At 42.4% G+C, this 16,705-nt stretch overlaps 1 protein-coding gene and 1 long non-coding RNA gene across 17 annotated transcripts in view, besides 4 other annotated features; one reads left to right on the top strand and one right to left on the bottom strand.

Moving 5' to 3' along the window:
- PCED1B (PC-esterase domain containing 1B) overlaps positions 1–16,705 on the bottom strand; it is a 157,040-nt gene that overhangs the window by 12,271 nt on the left and 128,064 nt on the right. For 3 of the 16 annotated variants that reach the window (XM_047429870.1, XM_047429868.1, XM_047429876.1), the window contains 2 exons: positions 7,701–7,904; positions 718–862 (listed from right to left, as the gene is read on the bottom strand). The exons of 2 other annotated variants lie outside the window; for them this stretch is intronic. The gene's annotated coding sequence lies outside the window, so the exon portion shown is untranslated. Of the gene's footprint in view, positions 1–350; positions 467–717; positions 863–7,700; positions 8,169–11,736; positions 11,794–16,705 lie in introns of all 16 variants that reach the window. 11 more of the 16 variants (XM_011538978.3, XM_005269224.6, XM_047429871.1 and 8 more) reach the window with 7 other exon arrangements.
- Positions 759–1,489: an enhancer, noted in NCBI's record as "OCT4-NANOG-H3K27ac-H3K4me1 hESC enhancer chr12:47616684-47617414 (GRCh37/hg19 assembly coordinates)". NCBI's record gives its function as "activates a minimal SCP1, AML or CMV promoter by ChIP-STARR-seq in naive H9 embryonic stem cells {active_cell/tissue: H9 hESC(naive)}" and the evidence as "EXISTENCE:reporter gene assay evidence [ECO:0000049][PMID:30033119]".
- Positions 1,490–2,220: an enhancer, noted in NCBI's record as "OCT4-NANOG-H3K27ac-H3K4me1 hESC enhancer chr12:47615953-47616683 (GRCh37/hg19 assembly coordinates)". NCBI's record gives its function as "activates a minimal SCP1, AML or CMV promoter by ChIP-STARR-seq in naive H9 embryonic stem cells {active_cell/tissue: H9 hESC(naive)}" and the evidence as "EXISTENCE:reporter gene assay evidence [ECO:0000049][PMID:30033119]".
- Positions 2,221–2,952: an enhancer, noted in NCBI's record as "H3K27ac-H3K4me1 hESC enhancer chr12:47615221-47615952 (GRCh37/hg19 assembly coordinates)". NCBI's record gives its function as "activates a minimal SCP1, AML or CMV promoter by ChIP-STARR-seq in naive H9 embryonic stem cells {active_cell/tissue: H9 hESC(naive)}" and the evidence as "EXISTENCE:reporter gene assay evidence [ECO:0000049][PMID:30033119]".
- Positions 3,248–3,748: an enhancer, noted in NCBI's record as "H3K27ac hESC enhancer chr12:47614425-47614925 (GRCh37/hg19 assembly coordinates)". NCBI's record gives its function as "activates a minimal SCP1, AML or CMV promoter by ChIP-STARR-seq in naive H9 embryonic stem cells {active_cell/tissue: H9 hESC(naive)}" and the evidence as "EXISTENCE:reporter gene assay evidence [ECO:0000049][PMID:30033119]".
- On the top strand, positions 7,947–15,970 carry PCED1B-AS1 (PCED1B antisense RNA 1). The gene is made up of 3 exons (NR_026544.1): positions 7,947–8,006; positions 8,126–8,225; positions 13,629–15,970. It is a non-coding gene; the product is annotated as a PCED1B antisense RNA 1 (long non-coding RNA).

The following is a 16,705-nucleotide window of genomic DNA, read 5'->3' as shown; positions in this document are numbered from 1 at the left end:
AATAATAGTCTAATATAAACAACGCCTATGAATTACAGAAAGAAATGCAGAGAGCATTTTTATGAATGAAGTGGTGGTTCTTAGTAACTGAAATGCAGGTAACTTCTGTAAAAACCAAAGATAAAACTATGGACCATTAATTCCAGTGACCTCACTTTTTTAAACTTTTGTTTTACAGCCTTTTGTAAATATTCCCTAAAATAAATAATCAAAGCATTTCATAAACACAAAAGTATGATTTCAATCATGTACAGTCTATAGTAAACCTCTACATGATGGTCTTGCATCATTATTCAAAGTATATTTGCTAACTTCCTACCTATTACCCCTTTAACACAAATGAAAGATACCAGAAGGTGGTGATCTGGCTTTCAACTCCAGACAAAGAAGCCAGACGTGGACTCTGCCCCTGGACAGCTGCGTGCTCTTGGGCTGGCTGCCCACAGTTCTGAACCAGTTTCCTCTTCTGTAAAAAGGGAATAATATTACCTACCTCGTCAAATAATAGTGAAAATGAAAAGAGATCTCGTACATCAGGGGCCTAATAATACAAGGCCTGCCAGACAGTAGGCCCCTCTAATCCTTTGGCTCAGCAAGCCCTCCCACAATGATTCCAGAGAAAACACAGGCCTGCAGACAGAACCCTGTTTGGACTCCCTCCTCAAACCTTCAAATCCTCACCCCGCTTCCCACCCTCCTGCAAAGGCAGAGAGGTACCTCCTTAGGCGTAAAGCTTCCTCAGCAGCTCAGGGACTTCGCTCCCGGATATCCCCCAGTGAGGGGATAATTTGCATTCTGCATTTTCTTTACCCTCCTTGGCCTGGATCCTTCTTTTTAGCATTAAACACATTCTAGTTTCTTGCTTTGAAAAAGAAAGGAAACATCTTTGACTCCACCTCCAGGACAGTCCTATCTTTTGCCTCCACTCCAAGGCCACATTTAAAAAAAAAAACTTGCTTGCACTGACTGGGTCTGGGTCTGGGCCCCACCTCCCACTCACTCCTCCGTTTACTTTAATTTGGCTCTGACTGGATCAAAGCCAAGGAATGTTTGTTAGTAAATCACCGATGATTTCCCTGTTGCTCCTTTCAGTGGCCACTTTTTGGTTCTTACAGTATGAGGGGTAGGGGCACTACTGACTGCTCCCTCTGAGAAACCCAGCCCTCAAGTCCACGTATTTGTGACACCCTTGTATCCTGTCTTTCCCTAGTATCTTTTGAGGGTTTCTCTTTCTCTGGCAGTTCCCCAAATGTTGGTCTTTCTCTCTCTCTCTCTCTTTTTCTTATTTCTCCCTCCCTTCCAGGTCTTTCTCAAGGCCCACTGAAGGGCTCTTTTCTTCTCTTCTTCAACATTCTTATCCTCGTGTGTCCACCCATTTTCAGAGTGTCAGGAAATGAGGTAACCCTATGTCCCTATTTGCCCCAAACAGTTCTGGTTTCTGCCTGTTTCCCCAGAATGATTAGTAGCACCCCAAACCCTTAAGAGTCCTGGTTTGGATGGTTACAACGGACCATCCCCTTATCAATTCCCATTTGTATGCAGATGACTGAGAATTGGGGCAATAAAGCACACTGGCTGAGAGGGAGGGGCTCTGGGGTTGGCCCCCTGGGTTTGATCCTGCTCCACTGCTTACTAGCCCTTGAGTCCCTGGGCCTATTAAGCAACCCCTCTGCCCTGAAGAAACCTCATCAATAAAATGGGAACAATATTACTGCAGTTTTCCTAACAAGTGAGGGTTAAATGAACACATGTAAAGTTATTAGCATGACACCGCCACATTTCTAAGTGCTCAGTGAATGTAGCTATTATCTTTGTCTCTAGCCCAGACCTGTCTCCTGAGTTTCAGACATATTCAGGTAGAGAGAATAAAGTTATCTGGGGTTGGAGGGGTAGGAGGTAGGAAAAGCAGTCTATGCAGGCCCCTATCACTTCCCAATTCTCTCTCTTTTTTTTTTTTTTTTTTTTTTGAGATGGAGTTTTGCTCTTGTTGCCCAGGCTGGAGTGCAATGGCGTGATCTCAGCTCACCGCAACATCTGCCTCCCAGGTTCAAGCGATTCTCCTGCCTCAGCCTCCCAAGTAGCTGGAATTACAGGCACGTGCTACCACGCCCGGCTAATTTTTTTGTATTTTTAGTAGAGACGGGGATTCTCCATGTTGGTCAGGCTGGTCTCGAACTCCTGACCTCAGGTGATCCACCCTCCTCGGCCTCCCAAAGTGCTGGGATTACAGGCGTGAGCCACCACGCCCGGGCGTTTTTTTTTTTTTTTTTTTTAATTTTTTTTTTAAGAGATAGAGTCTCACTCTGTCACCCAGGCTGGAGTGCCATGGTGCGATCATGGCTCACTGCAGCCTTTATCTCCCAGGTTTAAGAGATCCTTCTGCCTCAGCCTGCCAAGTAGTTGGGACCACAAGTGTGCATCCCATGCCCAGCTAATTTTTTAAAATTTTTTGTGGAGACAGGCTCTTGCTTTGTGGCCCAGTCTGGTCTTGAACTCCTGGTTTCAAGTAAACCTCCTGCCTTGGCCTCCCAAAGTGCTGGGATTACAGCCATAAGCCACCATGCCCAGCCACTTCCCACTTCTCTAGACACTCATTTATCTTCCCATCAAACTGTGGCTGAATTTCTCAAATAATTGTCTTGTGACCTTTGAACAGTCTCCCTAAATGTAAATATTGCATTGACCAACAATGGGAATGATGGCAGCACATTCTCACCAGGCAATTTCAGAGAGCTGCTGTATAATTTTTCTTGAAGCACTGGCTGGGAATACATAATTGGGTGGAAATATACTTTGCTTCTGAAATGTGTGGATAAAGTCATTTTTATTTTTGATGACTGGTTTTGTTTTAATTGTGAAGAAATCCTTAGGTTGATCTGTATCCTGGCAATCATTTAAAAATTTTCATGTTGGCGGGGCGTGGTGGCTCACCACCTGTAATCCCAGCACTCTGGGAAGCTTAGGCAGGAGGATCACTTGGCCCAGGAATTCAAGACCAACCTGGACAACATGGTGATATCCCTTTCTTAAAAAAAAAAAAAAAAAAAAAAAGAATTTTGATGTCTAACAAATATTGGAAACAATATATATATTTTGAAGATATAGCTTAGGGAGGAGGGGAATGTTGCAATATATATTTTGGGAAGCTGAGCACAGTGATCAATGTCACATTTGTTTTCAGTTTTATGGTTAAATATTTTACTTTCCCCCAATTTTTCTTAGTCCTTAAAAAGTGTGTCTTTGATTAAAACATTATTTTTTAATTGGTATAGTTTTAATTTTATATGTTTTCTTACATAAAACTTCATCATCTAGGTTTTAAAGTTTCAAATTCATTTAATATGTTAGAATAATTCCAACATTTTGCATTCTGTAAACTTTTTATGTCTTGGGATATGATCCTTTCTTCTTGGGATCTTCTGAAAGCCCGCAGGGAACCATAGGGTTTGTATAAGCCCAGAGGGCCTTTTCTCATGTCTTTATGTTTGTCTCTGTGACTCACCTTTGAATGTTCCCCAACCCTTTCCTGTTACTGAAATTCTGCTCCTTCATTAAGACTCACGTTAAAAGACAATTTTGTCAGAGAGCCTTCCCTACTCTCCTAGATAGAAAAATCTCTCCTTCCTCTGAGGGATGCCTCTACTTAACCTTTGGTTCTGTTTTGTTCTATAATTAACTGCCCATGTGCCATTCTATCCCACTCTATGCTAGTTCTGGATGGCAGAAGTGGGTCTCACCCATCCTTGTACCCCTCAGGGCCCAGTGCCTGTGCCTAGTAATCATCGGCACTCACTGAGCACTCACTTTGTGCCAGGCCTATTCCATTCTCACAACCCGGTGAAGGAGGAAGTATTATTATCTCCATTTTATAGATAAGTAAACTGAGGCATGGAGAGGTTATATAAATTGCCTAAGGTTGGCTGGGCATAGTGGCTCACGCCTGTAATCCCAGCACTTTGGGAGGCCGAGGTGGGTGGATCACCTGAGGTCAGGAGTTTGAGACCAGCCTGATCAACATGGTGAAACCCAGTCTCTACTAAAAATACAAAAATTAGCCTGGTGTCATGGCACACACCTGTAATCCCAGCTATTCAGGAGGCCGAGGCAAGAGAATTGCTTGAACCCGGGAGGCAGAGGTTGCAGTGAGCCAAGATCGCGCCACTGCACTCCAGCTTGGACAATAGAATGAGACTCTGTCTCAAAAAATAAATTAAAAATAAATAAATAAATTGCCTAAGGTTGCCCAGCTAGTAAATGGCAGAACTATTCTTTTGACAATGTATCTTCTTCTTCTTCTTCTTTTTTTTTTTTTTTTTTTTTTGAGGCAGTGTCTCCCTTGGTCACCTGGGAGTACAGGGGCATGATCACGGCTCACTGCAGCTTCAACCTCCCAGGCTCAATCAATCCTCCCTCCTCAGCCTCCTAGGTAGTTGGGACTTTAGGCTCATGCCACCACACCCATTATTGACAGTGAATCTTCTGAATAATTAGATAAGCTTAAGGTTTCCTTTTGTTTCTTTAGGAAGAAGTATGGCTCCAAAGCCTGAGCTTTTAATCTCAGCTATAAATACTTGTTTAAATTAAGAAGAAAAAAAATCATATTATCTAGAAAGAAATATTTGCATGTAGCTTTCCTTGTTATTCTCTGTTGAAAAACAAAACAATATTTTGTGCACAGCTTTAAATTTTTCCATGAGAAAACAAAGCAGGTGTGAAATAACTTAGTTCGATTTTCATCACTCTGTTAGCTAGTCTTCTTAAAAGCCGATGGAAAACCCAGTGCTGCACTAAAGCTATATTTGTGTTTCAAATGTTTAGGCTTATGCTGACTACTCTAGATTCCAACCAGTGGCTGAATTAAAAGTTCCCATGGATGAAAAACAAGGGCGATTGGAGAGCTAATAATGACGAGTGCTTTCAACTGATGAACAGGTTGGATTGTGACAATTCTGCTCCAGGACTAGCTACAAAAGTCCATTTACTCAGTAACAGGAATCTAGGGTTGAGTCAGCAGGCCTGGATTTCTTCCACCTCTAATGCTTACTTTATCTTTGTGCTACTTAGTTTTTTACTTCTTAAATGGGGGAAATAGCACCTATGCTCCTCTGAAGGGATTACCCAAAAGAGTTTTAAAAATGGACATTATTTTATTATTGTTGCTATCATTATTGTTACCATTTTTGTAGTATTTAAATTCTATGTGTAATAGTGTTTCTATGGAAAAAGAAACTTTTTTATTTTTGTTTTTTGAGATAGAGTCTCACTCTGTTGCCCAGGCTGGAGTGCAGTGGTGCAATCTTGGCTCGCTACATCCCCTGTCTCATGGGCTAAAGTGATTCTCCTGCCTCAGTCTCCGGAATAGCTGGGATCACAGGCATTTGCCACCATGCCCAGATAATTGTTCTATTTTTAGTAGAGGCGGAGTTTCACCGTGTTGGCCAGGCTGGTCTCGAACTCCTGACCTCAGGTGATCCACCCACCTAGGCCTCCCAAAGTGCTGGGATTACAGGCCTGAGTCACCTTTTTCCACAGGCGGCCGATCTATGGAAAACATTTTTTGAATTTAAAAATGAGAGCAAGTCTCAGCCAGGTAGAGTGGCTCACACCTGAAATCCCAACACTTTGGGAGGCCAAGGAGGGACGATTGCTTGAGACCAGGAGTTCAAGCCCACCCTGGGCAATAAAGCTACACCTCTGTCTCTAAAAAAAAAAAAAAAAAAGAAAAAAAATTAAAAATGATCAGGATGTGGTGGCGCATGTCTGTAGTCCCAGCTACTCAGGAGGAGGCTGAGGTGGAAGGATACCTTGCACCCAGGAGTTTGTGGCTGCAGTGAGTCGTGATGGCACCACTGCGCTCCAGCCTGGATGACAGAGCAAGACACTGTCTCTGCCTTGGCTTTTACTCACACTATGTTGTAGAGGATTCTGGAAACTTGAGTTCCCACTGCTTTGCCTGTTGGCAGTGCAACTGAGGACTTGCCAGTTTCAAGCTCTACGGCTTGGAGCGGAAGAAAGGACAAGCAAGGTCCAGGGACTAAGGAAGCTGAGGAACAAGAATCTTGTGCTGGTGAAATGAATGTCATACTGCCTATGCACACCGACTAACTTCTCACATTAGGCCTTTCCCCAGGCCATGGTTTTCCCCACTTCAGTGCCAACAACGGACCTAGGGGTTTTTCTCCCTGCTGCCGTGTCCAGCCGAGCTCTCGCTTCTCTCTTCTCCTCCAGCTCCAAAAATAAGTCAACAGCTCTGCACTGCCTACCTTAGAGTTAATTGTGGAAATCAAATGAAATGCTGTGTAAACTCTACAGATGTTCGCTGCTATTGTTATTCTGAGCCACCTTAGCATATCTGGAAAGTGGGCTTAGTGGTTAAGGGAGATTTCCAGTTAAATGAAGCATTTAACTTATTATTTAGCAACATTAATTATTTAGTGGCATTATTTAGCATACCCTCCAAAAAGTATTTACATGTTTTACCAGTTTATCTCTTTATTCTTCTTAAGAACTCTAAGAAGGGCGCGGTAGCTCATGCCTGTAATCCCAACACTTTGGGAGGCCAAGACGGTCGGATCACCTGAGGTCTGGAGTTCAAGATCAGCCTGGCCAACATGGTGAAACCCTGTCTCTAGTAAAAATATAAAAATTAGCTGGGAGTGGTGTCGCGTGCCTGTAATCCCAGCTACTTGGGAGGCTGAGGCACAAGAATTGCTTGAACTTGGGAGGCGGAGGTTGCGGTGAGCAGAGATAGCACCACTGCACTCCAGCCTGAGCAGCAGAGTGAGACTCCATCACAAAAAAACAAAAACAAAAACAACCTAAGAAATTATTTTCTTTCTTTCTTTCCTTTTCTTTTCTCTCTTTCTCTTTCTTCTTTCTTTCTTTCTTTCTTTCTTTCTTTCTTTCTTTCTTTCTTTCTCTTTCTTTCTTTTTCTTTCTTTCTTTCTTTCTTTTTTTTTCTTCTTTCTCTGTCTCTCTCTCTCTCTCTGTTTCTTTCTTGTCTCACTCTGTTGCCCAAGTTGGAATTCAGTGGCGAAATCATGGCTCACTGCAGCAACTCTGCAGGCTCAATCAATCCTCCCACTTCAGCCTCCCTAGTAGCTGGGACTACAGGCCTGTGCCACCATGCCTGGCTAATTTTTATAGTTTTTTTTAGAGACAGGGTTTCATCATGTTGTCCAGGCTGGTCTTGAACTTAGACTCAAATAATCCACCTGCCTCAGCCTTCCAAAGTGCTTGGATTACGGGTGTGGGCCACCGCACCTGGACTACATATTCTAATTTTCTCCATTTTATACTTTTAAAAATTAAGGCTAAAAGATTGAGTAATCTGCCCAAGGTCATCCATTTTATAAGAAGTAGTGCTGGAAGTAAAACCTGATGCCAAGCCTTTGTGGTCAACCACAACATACAAGATTGCAGACAACAGATGCCTCACGTCCCTTCTCCAGTTCACAACTAAATTGGCTGTTTTCTTTCACTGTCCATTTTAATAAATTTACAAGTTTATCAATCACTAATATTTTTGTTATTGCCAAGCACCAGTTGTCTCTTTAGTGTTACATGGGGTGGGCTGAAGGAGGCTAGGGTGCTGATTCCTGTCTACAGTAAGTGCCCAAAAAATGATGGTCTCAAGAAAGGCTGGTCAGAAATGCCAACTTAAAGTTTCAGATAAAATGGAAAAACTGAAAAGTACTTACTCATTAAAGTAACTGGTGATTTTTAAGCATCTCTCTCAGTTGATTCTAGATCTCGTCCCTAGATAGCTTTCTTCCTCTCCTGTAGATCATTGTGACCAGACGGGAGATCTCAGAGCTTGGGCTATAGGGGAAATAGGTTAGCCTCTGGGTGCTGCTGTGCTTGCAAGCCAGCGTCTGGGGAGAAGATGACATTTCCGGTGGCATCTGGGGCAAACGACACAAGTCAGCATTTAGTTTCTTGCTTTAGGAAGCGGAAGACTAATGACCGAAGCTTCAAGACTTTGACATGTGTGAAAACATGAAATGGTAAGTCAATACAAAGACAGCATCTTCCTGGAATTTGGTTTTGAGCTTGTTTTCATTTCACCTTTCTCAGTAATCTGGGTGTAGCTTATTTTGACTCTTCCTTTGATTAAACAATTCAGACCCTTGGCTCTTATTGTTCTTGCTGGTGTGGTATGTTCACGGCTGAAAAGATGGTCAGAAGGGGAAAGGAGGAAGTGAGAAGAAAGAAACAGGGAAATGGTAAGAAGAACTCTACTTTTCTAAATAATATTTAATAGTAGTAATCTTGTGTTTCTGTGCAAGGTGTTACAGTTTACAAACCGCTTTTATTTTTATTTATTTATTTTTTTTGAGACGGAGTTTTGGTCTTGTTGCCCAGGCTGGAGTGCAGTGGCATGGTCTCGGCTCATTGCAACCTCTGCCTCCCAGGTTCAAGCGATTCTCCTGCTTCAGGCTCCGAGTAGCTGTGACTACATGCACCCACCACCACACCCGGCTGATTTTGTATTTTTAGTAGAGATGGTGTTTCACCATGTTGGCCAGTCTGGTCTCGAACTCCTTACCTCAGGTGATCCACCCGCCTTGGCCTCCCAAAGTGCTGGGATTATAGGGGTGAGCCACCATGGCAGGCCACAAACCGCTTTTAAATCCTTTCACTTCATCTCTCCACTGACGTCTTGATGGAAAAATGGCTCAGTCCACACTACAGGAAACCACAGGCCTGAGCCCCAGCCTCAGCTAGATCCAGTATGTGGCAGAGCAAGATAAGAACTTTCTGCTTCCTCCCTTAGTGTTCCACTTGAAACCAGCAGGTAACTCAAGGGGACAGCGTGCTTAAAAGGGAGATGGTTCGTCTGGCGCTGTGGCTCATGCCTGTAATCCCAGCACTTTGGGAGGCCGAGGCGGGTGGATCACCTGAGGTCAGGAGTTCGAGACCAGCCTGGCCAACATGGTGCAACTCCGTCTCTACTGAAAATACAAAAATTAGCTGGGCGTGGTGGTGGGCCCCTGTAATCCCAGCTACTCGGGGGGCTGAGGCAGGAGAATCGCTTGAACCCAGGAGGCGGAGGTTGCAGTGAGCCAAAATCGTCCCATTGCACTCCAGTCAGGGTGACAAGAGCAAGACTCCATCTTTAAAAAAAAAAAAAGGGTGGGGGAGATGGTCTTCTGATTGATTAGATAAGTGTAGGCATTTGTTTTCTTTTGTCTGGAATAATATGATTTCGGGGAGAGGAATATCACTTTCCCTACAAATACCAAGATGAAAAAGAAAAGGAAATAATGAATCAGAAAAAAAAGAGAGAGAGAAAATGCATGACTACAGAAGGTCCCAGTGCATGACTACAGAAGATCAGAATATACCACCCCCAGGTTCCCGTAATCCCAGGTCCTTGGGAGGCTGAGGCAGGAGAATCGCTTCAACCCAGGAGGCGTAGGTTGCAGCAAGCCGAGATTGCGCCACTGCACCTCAGCCTGGGCAACAGCGAGACTCCATCTCAAAAATAAAAAATATGCCACCCCAAAATATAGTTATTTGGCATATTTCGAGCTGATTATTCTGAGCAACTGCAGACACAAGAGTATCTCTGAAAAGCTGTCCTTTTGTAAAATAAATTTATATTTATAAAAGAAATCTACATTAGTCAAAGTATCTGTATCAGGAAGAGTCCTGCTCTCAGACAACTTTTATTACCTGGGGGATTCCAGTGTGTGTGCATATAATTAAAAATGTTTTTTCCTTTTCTTTTCTTTTTTTTTGAATTGAGATTTGGTCTCAATATGTTGCCCAGGCTGGTCTTGAACTCGTGGGCTCAAGTGATCCTCCCACCTCAGCTTCCCAAAGTGCTGGGATCACAGGCATGAGCCACCGAGCCTGGCCAAAAATGTTTTTTTCTCCTGTTAATCTGTTTTATGTCAATTTAATTTGTATCCCAGCCAAAGAACCTAGAAGTAGGGAGGAAGCCATTTTCCCTCCCTTACAGCACAAAATAACTAACCAACAAGAGTAAGAGGTTTCACAACAGTCCTGAATTACATGCTCTGAAGACTTAGCTTTTTTTAATAGTATGCTATTTATGTAAACTGGATTATAATGTGACATAATTGTCTTTCCTTGAAAAATATCATTTTACTTTACATCACTGTCTATTCAGTGTGTGGCTTAAAATTAATTCCATACCTTATGCATTGTTTTCATCCTCTATGGCCATCAATAAAGTTATCTTGCAGTTCCCCATGAGTTTTAGTACAGTCATTACCGGGAAATTTAATAGAATCAAGGCAGAACCCAACTGATAGCTTTAGTATTTTATAATCCAGAGTAGTCTATTACATAACTTTGAAAAATCTGCCATTATTTAGTTCTAGCAATTCTATAAATGAATTGCAAATCTTTCTAGTTCTGTAGATTTCAGCTAGTCTGTGCACTGTGAGAATAAAAGGACAATCTCTGTAATCATCCCAAGACCAGAGAACAGAAGAGCTGTAATAATGCAAATGATAATCACACTTATACTCTTTAAACTTAAAATAAAGTTGAGATCAACAGATTTTCAACTGATTTTCTTGCTTTCAAGAACTTATTATGCTCTATGTAGACAGCTACTATTGCTATTCTGGCCCTATCTCATGTTTCAAAGCTCAGTGAGCCATCTTTTATTTTTTACCCACCAAACTTGGCTTTTTCTTAAACAGTAATGACAACTTATGCACATATAATGTTTTACCCTGTGAATGTGCTTTCACACACAGATATCCTTTACTATTAGCAGCTCATTAGTAGTTATAGCCACAGAGAAATTTAAACTTTGCTTTATGCAAGCCATTACCATTTTATCCACATTTTCTATCTTAAGGAACGCAATTATTTTTCTTATCTTCTTGGGAATCCTATAAGAGGGCCAGAAATCAGCCCATTAAATATATACATATATATACATTAATTTCAGCTGGCTCGTGTGTGTATGTGTTTAAATCTATTCCTGGGCTGCCTTAAACGAATGGGCCAAATTTGGCAAATCACAAAACTATGTTTTTTTCTTTGGTTGTCTGACTTAAACAGTCCACATATTTTTGATAATTTCTCTTCAAAGCACTCACAATTAGTACTTTCAAGCACATATGAATAATGAATAATTTGTTTCTATTAGGGTACGAAATCTTCTCTGATAACATATTAGGAACTTTGAGATTCTGGATTAAAACTTCTCATGAGTTCGATTTAGTAACAGAACTAAATTTTGCACGAAGTATGTGCAAACTTTGTGTTGATGAACAAGGCAATACTTATTGGGATTTGGGATGTTACAGATTGAGAAAAGCCAAATCAGTGATTTCACTATTCAGGATGGATGGAATGAGAAATGTGAATTTATAAAAGATCCCATTCTGTCAGGATTTCTTAAACATTTCCACAAAATTCTTAGAATTCTTATGTTTTATGCAAGTTCTGTATTCTGTTCCAATGCAGCCTAGTGGTTCAGAACATGGCCTTTGCAGGCAGAAAAGCCTGAGTTCAGAGTCCCAAATTAATAATCCACAAGCTGTGTGACTTTGGGAAAGGTACTCAACTCCTCTGGCCCACTTCCAGTTGTGAAGTTTAAACCTGCAAAGTGCTAAGCAGACTGCTTGGTACTTAGTAAATGCTCATTTTTGTTCCAGGGATTAGTATACATGCATCCATGCTTTAGTAATGCAAAATAATTCTTTAAATGACTAACCACTGGAAAAAAACGTAAATACTGACAAGTACCTTGTTTGATGGGCACTGTTCCATGGGCTGGTATGACACCATCACTGCAGGAATAGACTGCGCAAGTGGAGGGGAGATGACAGAAATCATCGTTAGGTCAAGTTGAAGCTCGGGGAGATTGAGCAACTGTCTGAATCACACAGGTTAACTACTGAGCTTGGACTAAAGACCAGGCTTCCTGGGTCCTGGACTCATAGTTCCAGAGCTATAGTTCATGAATTTTTTTCTCTAAGGCTGTAAGCTCTTTTTACAGAGAATAATTTAATGCCCTGCAAGAACTGGGTCTTACATTATTTAGCAATGTCCCTTACCTTTAAACCACAGGCTTAGTTTTCCAATTCCGGTCCTCTCTCCTTTTTTCTTTTTGTTTTTTGAGACAGAGTCTCTTGCTCTGTCACCTATGCTGGAGTGCAGTGGCATGATCTCAGCTCACTGAAACCTCCACCTCCGGGCTCAAGTGATCCTCACACCTCAGTCTCCCACCTACCCCCAGTAGCTGGGACCACAGGAGTGAGCCACCATGCCCTGCTAGTTTTTTGTATTTTTGGTAGAGATTGGGTTTTTTTTTTTTTTTTTTTTGAGACGGAGTCTCGCTCTGTCTCCCAGGCTGGAGTACAGTGGCACGATCTCGGCTCACTGCAAGCTCCGCCTCCCGGGTTCACGCCATTCTCCTGCCTCAGCCTCCCAAGTAGCTGGGACTACAGGCGCCCGCCACTACGCCCGGCTAATTTTTTGTATTTTTAGTAGAGACGGGGTTTCACCGTTTTAGCCGGGATGGTCTCGATCTCCTGACCTCGTGATCCGCCCGCCTCGGCCTCCCAAAGTGCTGGGATTACAGGCGTGAGCCACCGTGCCCAGCCGAGAGATTGGGTTTTACCTTGTTGCCCAGGCTGGCTTTGAACTTCTGGGCTCAAGTGATCCACCCGCCTCAGCCTCCCAAAGTGCTGGAATTACAGGCCTGAGCCACTGCGCCCAGTTTTTTTTTTTTTTTTTTTTTTTTGAGACAGAGTCTCACTCTGTTGCCCATAGTAGAGTGCAGTGGTGCGATCTTGGCTCATTGCAACCTCTGCCTCCCAGGTTCAAGCAGTTCTCCTGCCTCAGCCTCCTGAGTAGCTGGGATTATAGCCATGTGCCACTACACCTGGCTCCTTTTTTTTTTTTTAAAGTAGAGTTGGGGTTTCACCATGTTGGCCAGGCTGGTCTTGAACTCCTGGCCTCAAGTGATCCACATGCCTCAGCCTCCCAAAGTGCTGGGATTACAGGCGTGAGTCACCGCACCTGGCCATAAGGTTGTTTTGTCAAGGAAGATAGAAACAGCTTAATATTTTTGGATGTGTGCTGTTCTTCCTTTCTTACTTTATTAGATAAACATCCATCGAGTGCTCCTTCGGTCAGGCACAGTGCTTAGCACCTGAGATATGAGGTTGAGTAGGATATGGTCTTCTCTATGTTCTGTAGCTCACAGTGCAGGGAGGGAAAAACACAGAAGCAGATAACTAGAATTCAATGTTGGGAGTGCATTTATGGCTTTATGTTAGAGTATCACTTCTATTACTGAAAAGGGATTTTTAAAATTCTACTGAAAACATGAAAATGAAAATAGCGCCATGAAAAGTAGCTTCTAGTCATATTCTTTTATGATGAATATTTGCTTTGCATATACGATTGGCCCATATTGCATCATTTGTTTTATAAATTAATCGTATATCACTATTCCATTTTACCGGTAAAATAGTAGGCTTTTAAGTATTTTTCCCAATTATCACTTACAAAAATATTGTTACAGCTTACTTTTTTTGACCTTCCTTTTTCTTTTAGGGTGCTCTTTTCCTTAACATAGTTTGTTGTTGTGTCTCTGAAATATATTTATTTATTATTATTACTTTTTTCAGACAGAGTGTTGCTCAGTTACCCAGGCTGGAGTGCAATGGCATGATCTTGGCTCACTGCAGCCTCCACCTCCTGGGTTCAAGCGGTTCTCGTGCCTCAGTCTCCCAAGTAGCTGGGATTACAGGTATGCACCACCATGCCCAGCCAATTTTGTATTTTTAGTAGAGGCAGGGTTTCACCATGTTGGCTAAGCTGGTCTTGAACTCCTGACCTCAGGTGATCTACCTGCTTCAGCCTCTCAGAGTGCTGGGATTACAGGCATGAGCCACCAAGCCCGGCCTGAAATACATTTAAATAAATGAAGATGGAGAATCAGACATTACTTTCATTTATCTGAATCTGGTGTAGTTTAATTAATCTGTAATTGTAAGTCTTTGAATCATATGTCAATATTCTATTTTGTTAGTCATGATTTCTAAGTGTTACATAACTGTGGCCCCAGCCACTTTATATTTTGGTATCATGACAGAAGACTCTGATTGTGGTTATTTTCTACCTATGCATTTATTCTTAGTGATATATGTTGGTTAAATTATGGCATAGTTTTAAAATACATGACAAAAATAGCTAACAGTAAAGAAATGTCTTTGTTTCTGGTTGAATAAACTGACCACGCAAGGTTCCAATTTAAAATAAATTCTAAACGAATCATGTTATTTTCCAAAACTGTTCCTCCTCTCAGTAAATGAAATCAATATCCACCCGGTTACCCCAAGACAGAAATCTCAAGATCATCTGTGACTCCTTCCTCTTCATCTGCCACAAGAAGAGTAGCTTCTATCTCCAAAGCTAGTCTCTGATCAGTCTACTTCTCTTCCTATAGCCTCTGCTTTAGTTCAAATCTAGAATCCTGCTGTGGTGGTGCTGTGGCTTCCAAGTTCATCTTCTTCCAATCCGTTCTCTAAACTACAGTCTTGCTCTTTCTAAGACTCAGATCTTATAATTTTACTTCCCTTCATAGGTTGAATTTAACCTGCTAAATCACATAAAATTTTTCTGAAGATACCAGCCTTTCTGCCTTAATCAAACACATTAGCCAAATCCATAGCATTACTGGGATAAAGCCTGAAGATCCCAAATTGATAAGGCATCTGGATTCCCTTTGATAACAGTATTCAATAACAATGAACACCTACTGAGTATACTATTCCAAGCATTTAAAGTGTATCAACTCTTTTCACAAAATCAACAATAATTATTATTGCTACCATTTATTGAGAGTCTACTTTAATCCAGGTGTTACATATTCATGTATTCATTATTATTACCTTTTTTTTTGAGACGAAATCTTGCTCTGTTGCCCAGGCTGGAGTGCGATGGCATGATCTTGGCTCACGGCAAACTCCGCCTCCCTGGTTCAAGTGATTCTCCTGCCTCAGCCTCCCGAGTAGCCGGGATTACAGGCATGTGCCACCATGCCCCGTTGGCCAGGCTGGTCTCGAACACCTTACCTCAGGTGATCCTCCCACCTTTGGGATTACAGGTGAGCCCAGCCTATTGTTACCTTTAAAACCACCCTGCAGGGTAGCTCTTACTGTCTCCATGAGGAATATCAGAAAAGGGAAAGGACTTCCTGGAGGGCTGGTTCTGCCTCAAGCCAATCAGCTGACACTAAGCAGTGAAGCCGGAATCTGAGGTCCCTCTGCCTGCCCTGGTCTTTGCTCACCCTGACAACCAGACACCTCACTGTGTCCTGAGCAGCATAGATGCCACACGCACAGTGCCACATAGAGAAGGGTGATGTAAATGAAAATTAAAACACTGTGACAAAGTCAAGCAGGGCATTTGTTTTTGTTGTTGTTAAGTTATTTTTGGTAGATACAGGGTCTCACTATGTTGACCAGGCTGGTCTTGAACTCCTGGGCTCAAGCAATCTGCCTGCCTCAGCCTCTCAGAATGTTGGGATTATAGACATGAACCACTGCACCCGGCCAGTGTCAGTCTTTGTTCCCTACAAGTGAAATCAAAACAGCCTCACGCCTGTAAACCCAGCAGTTTAGGAGCCCAAGGTGGAAGGATCGCTTGAGCCCAGGAGTTTGAAACCAGTCTAGGCAACATAGTGAGACCCTATCTATACAAAAATAAAAATAGCCTGGGCAGGGTGACTCATGCCTATAATCCCAGTACTTTGGGAGGCCAAGGTGGGTGCATCACTTGAGGTCAGGAGTTCGAGACCAGCCTGGCTAACATGGAGAAACCCTGTCTCTATTAAAAATACGCCTGTAGTCCCAGTTACTCGGGACGCTGAGGCAGGACTGCTTGAACCTGGGAGGTAGAGGTTGCAGTGAGCCGAGATCGCGATACTGCACTCTAGAGCCTGAGTGACAGAGTGAGACTCCGTCTCAAAAAAATAAAAATAAAAAATTAGCTGAGGGTGGTGGTGCGTGCTATACTCAGCTACTCAGGAGGCTGAGGTGGGAGGATCACCTGAGCCCAGAAAGTCAAGTCTGCAGTGAGCTATGATCGTGCCACTGCACTCCAGCCTGGGAGATGAGACCCTGTCTGAAAACAAACAAACAAACAAAAACCAAAATGGCTAAGTTTACAGCACCAAGTCTATCCCTTAACAGTATGACTGCTTTGAGTTCAGGCACGTGTCTAAGGGCAGCCGGTTCAGAGACCTTGACACCTGGTGGAGTCACAGAATCAAGACCCTGGGAAAACTTCTTATAGCTTATTTATTTAAAGCTTTACAATTGTTTACACTGCTCAGGAAAAAAAGAAAAAAAAAACCCAACAAATTATGGGTGTTCAGAGAGCTGTGTTAGCCCACAAAGTTCGAGGGAGAAACTGTCATTCACAGAGCTTGATTAACCACAGACTTAAATTTCAGGAGGAAGTAAGCTATGAAAAATCTGTAACCTCTGCCTGTCATATGCTTAGTTTGTTAAAGAAAACTAGAGAAGGAGCTTGTTATTCTTTAAATAGAAAAGCTCCAAAAAGCCCTAAAATGTTTTATCTGAATAAGTTCTCTCAGTAGGTATCTTAAGAATAATAGATTATAGTCAGGGGTTAGGGGCCAGCTCACAAGACTGATGCAAGTTCTTTAAGTTGTGATTGTGTCTGATGAAGAGGAATG

The sequence above is a fragment of the Homo sapiens genome, chromosome 12, assembly GCF_000001405.40.
Source record: "Homo sapiens chromosome 12, GRCh38.p14 Primary Assembly".
In the NCBI taxonomy this organism is placed as follows: Eukaryota; Metazoa; Chordata; class Mammalia; order Primates; family Hominidae; genus Homo; species Homo sapiens.
The sequence above is the reverse complement of the archived record's forward strand: the minus strand, read 5'-3'. Positions and strand labels throughout refer to the sequence as shown.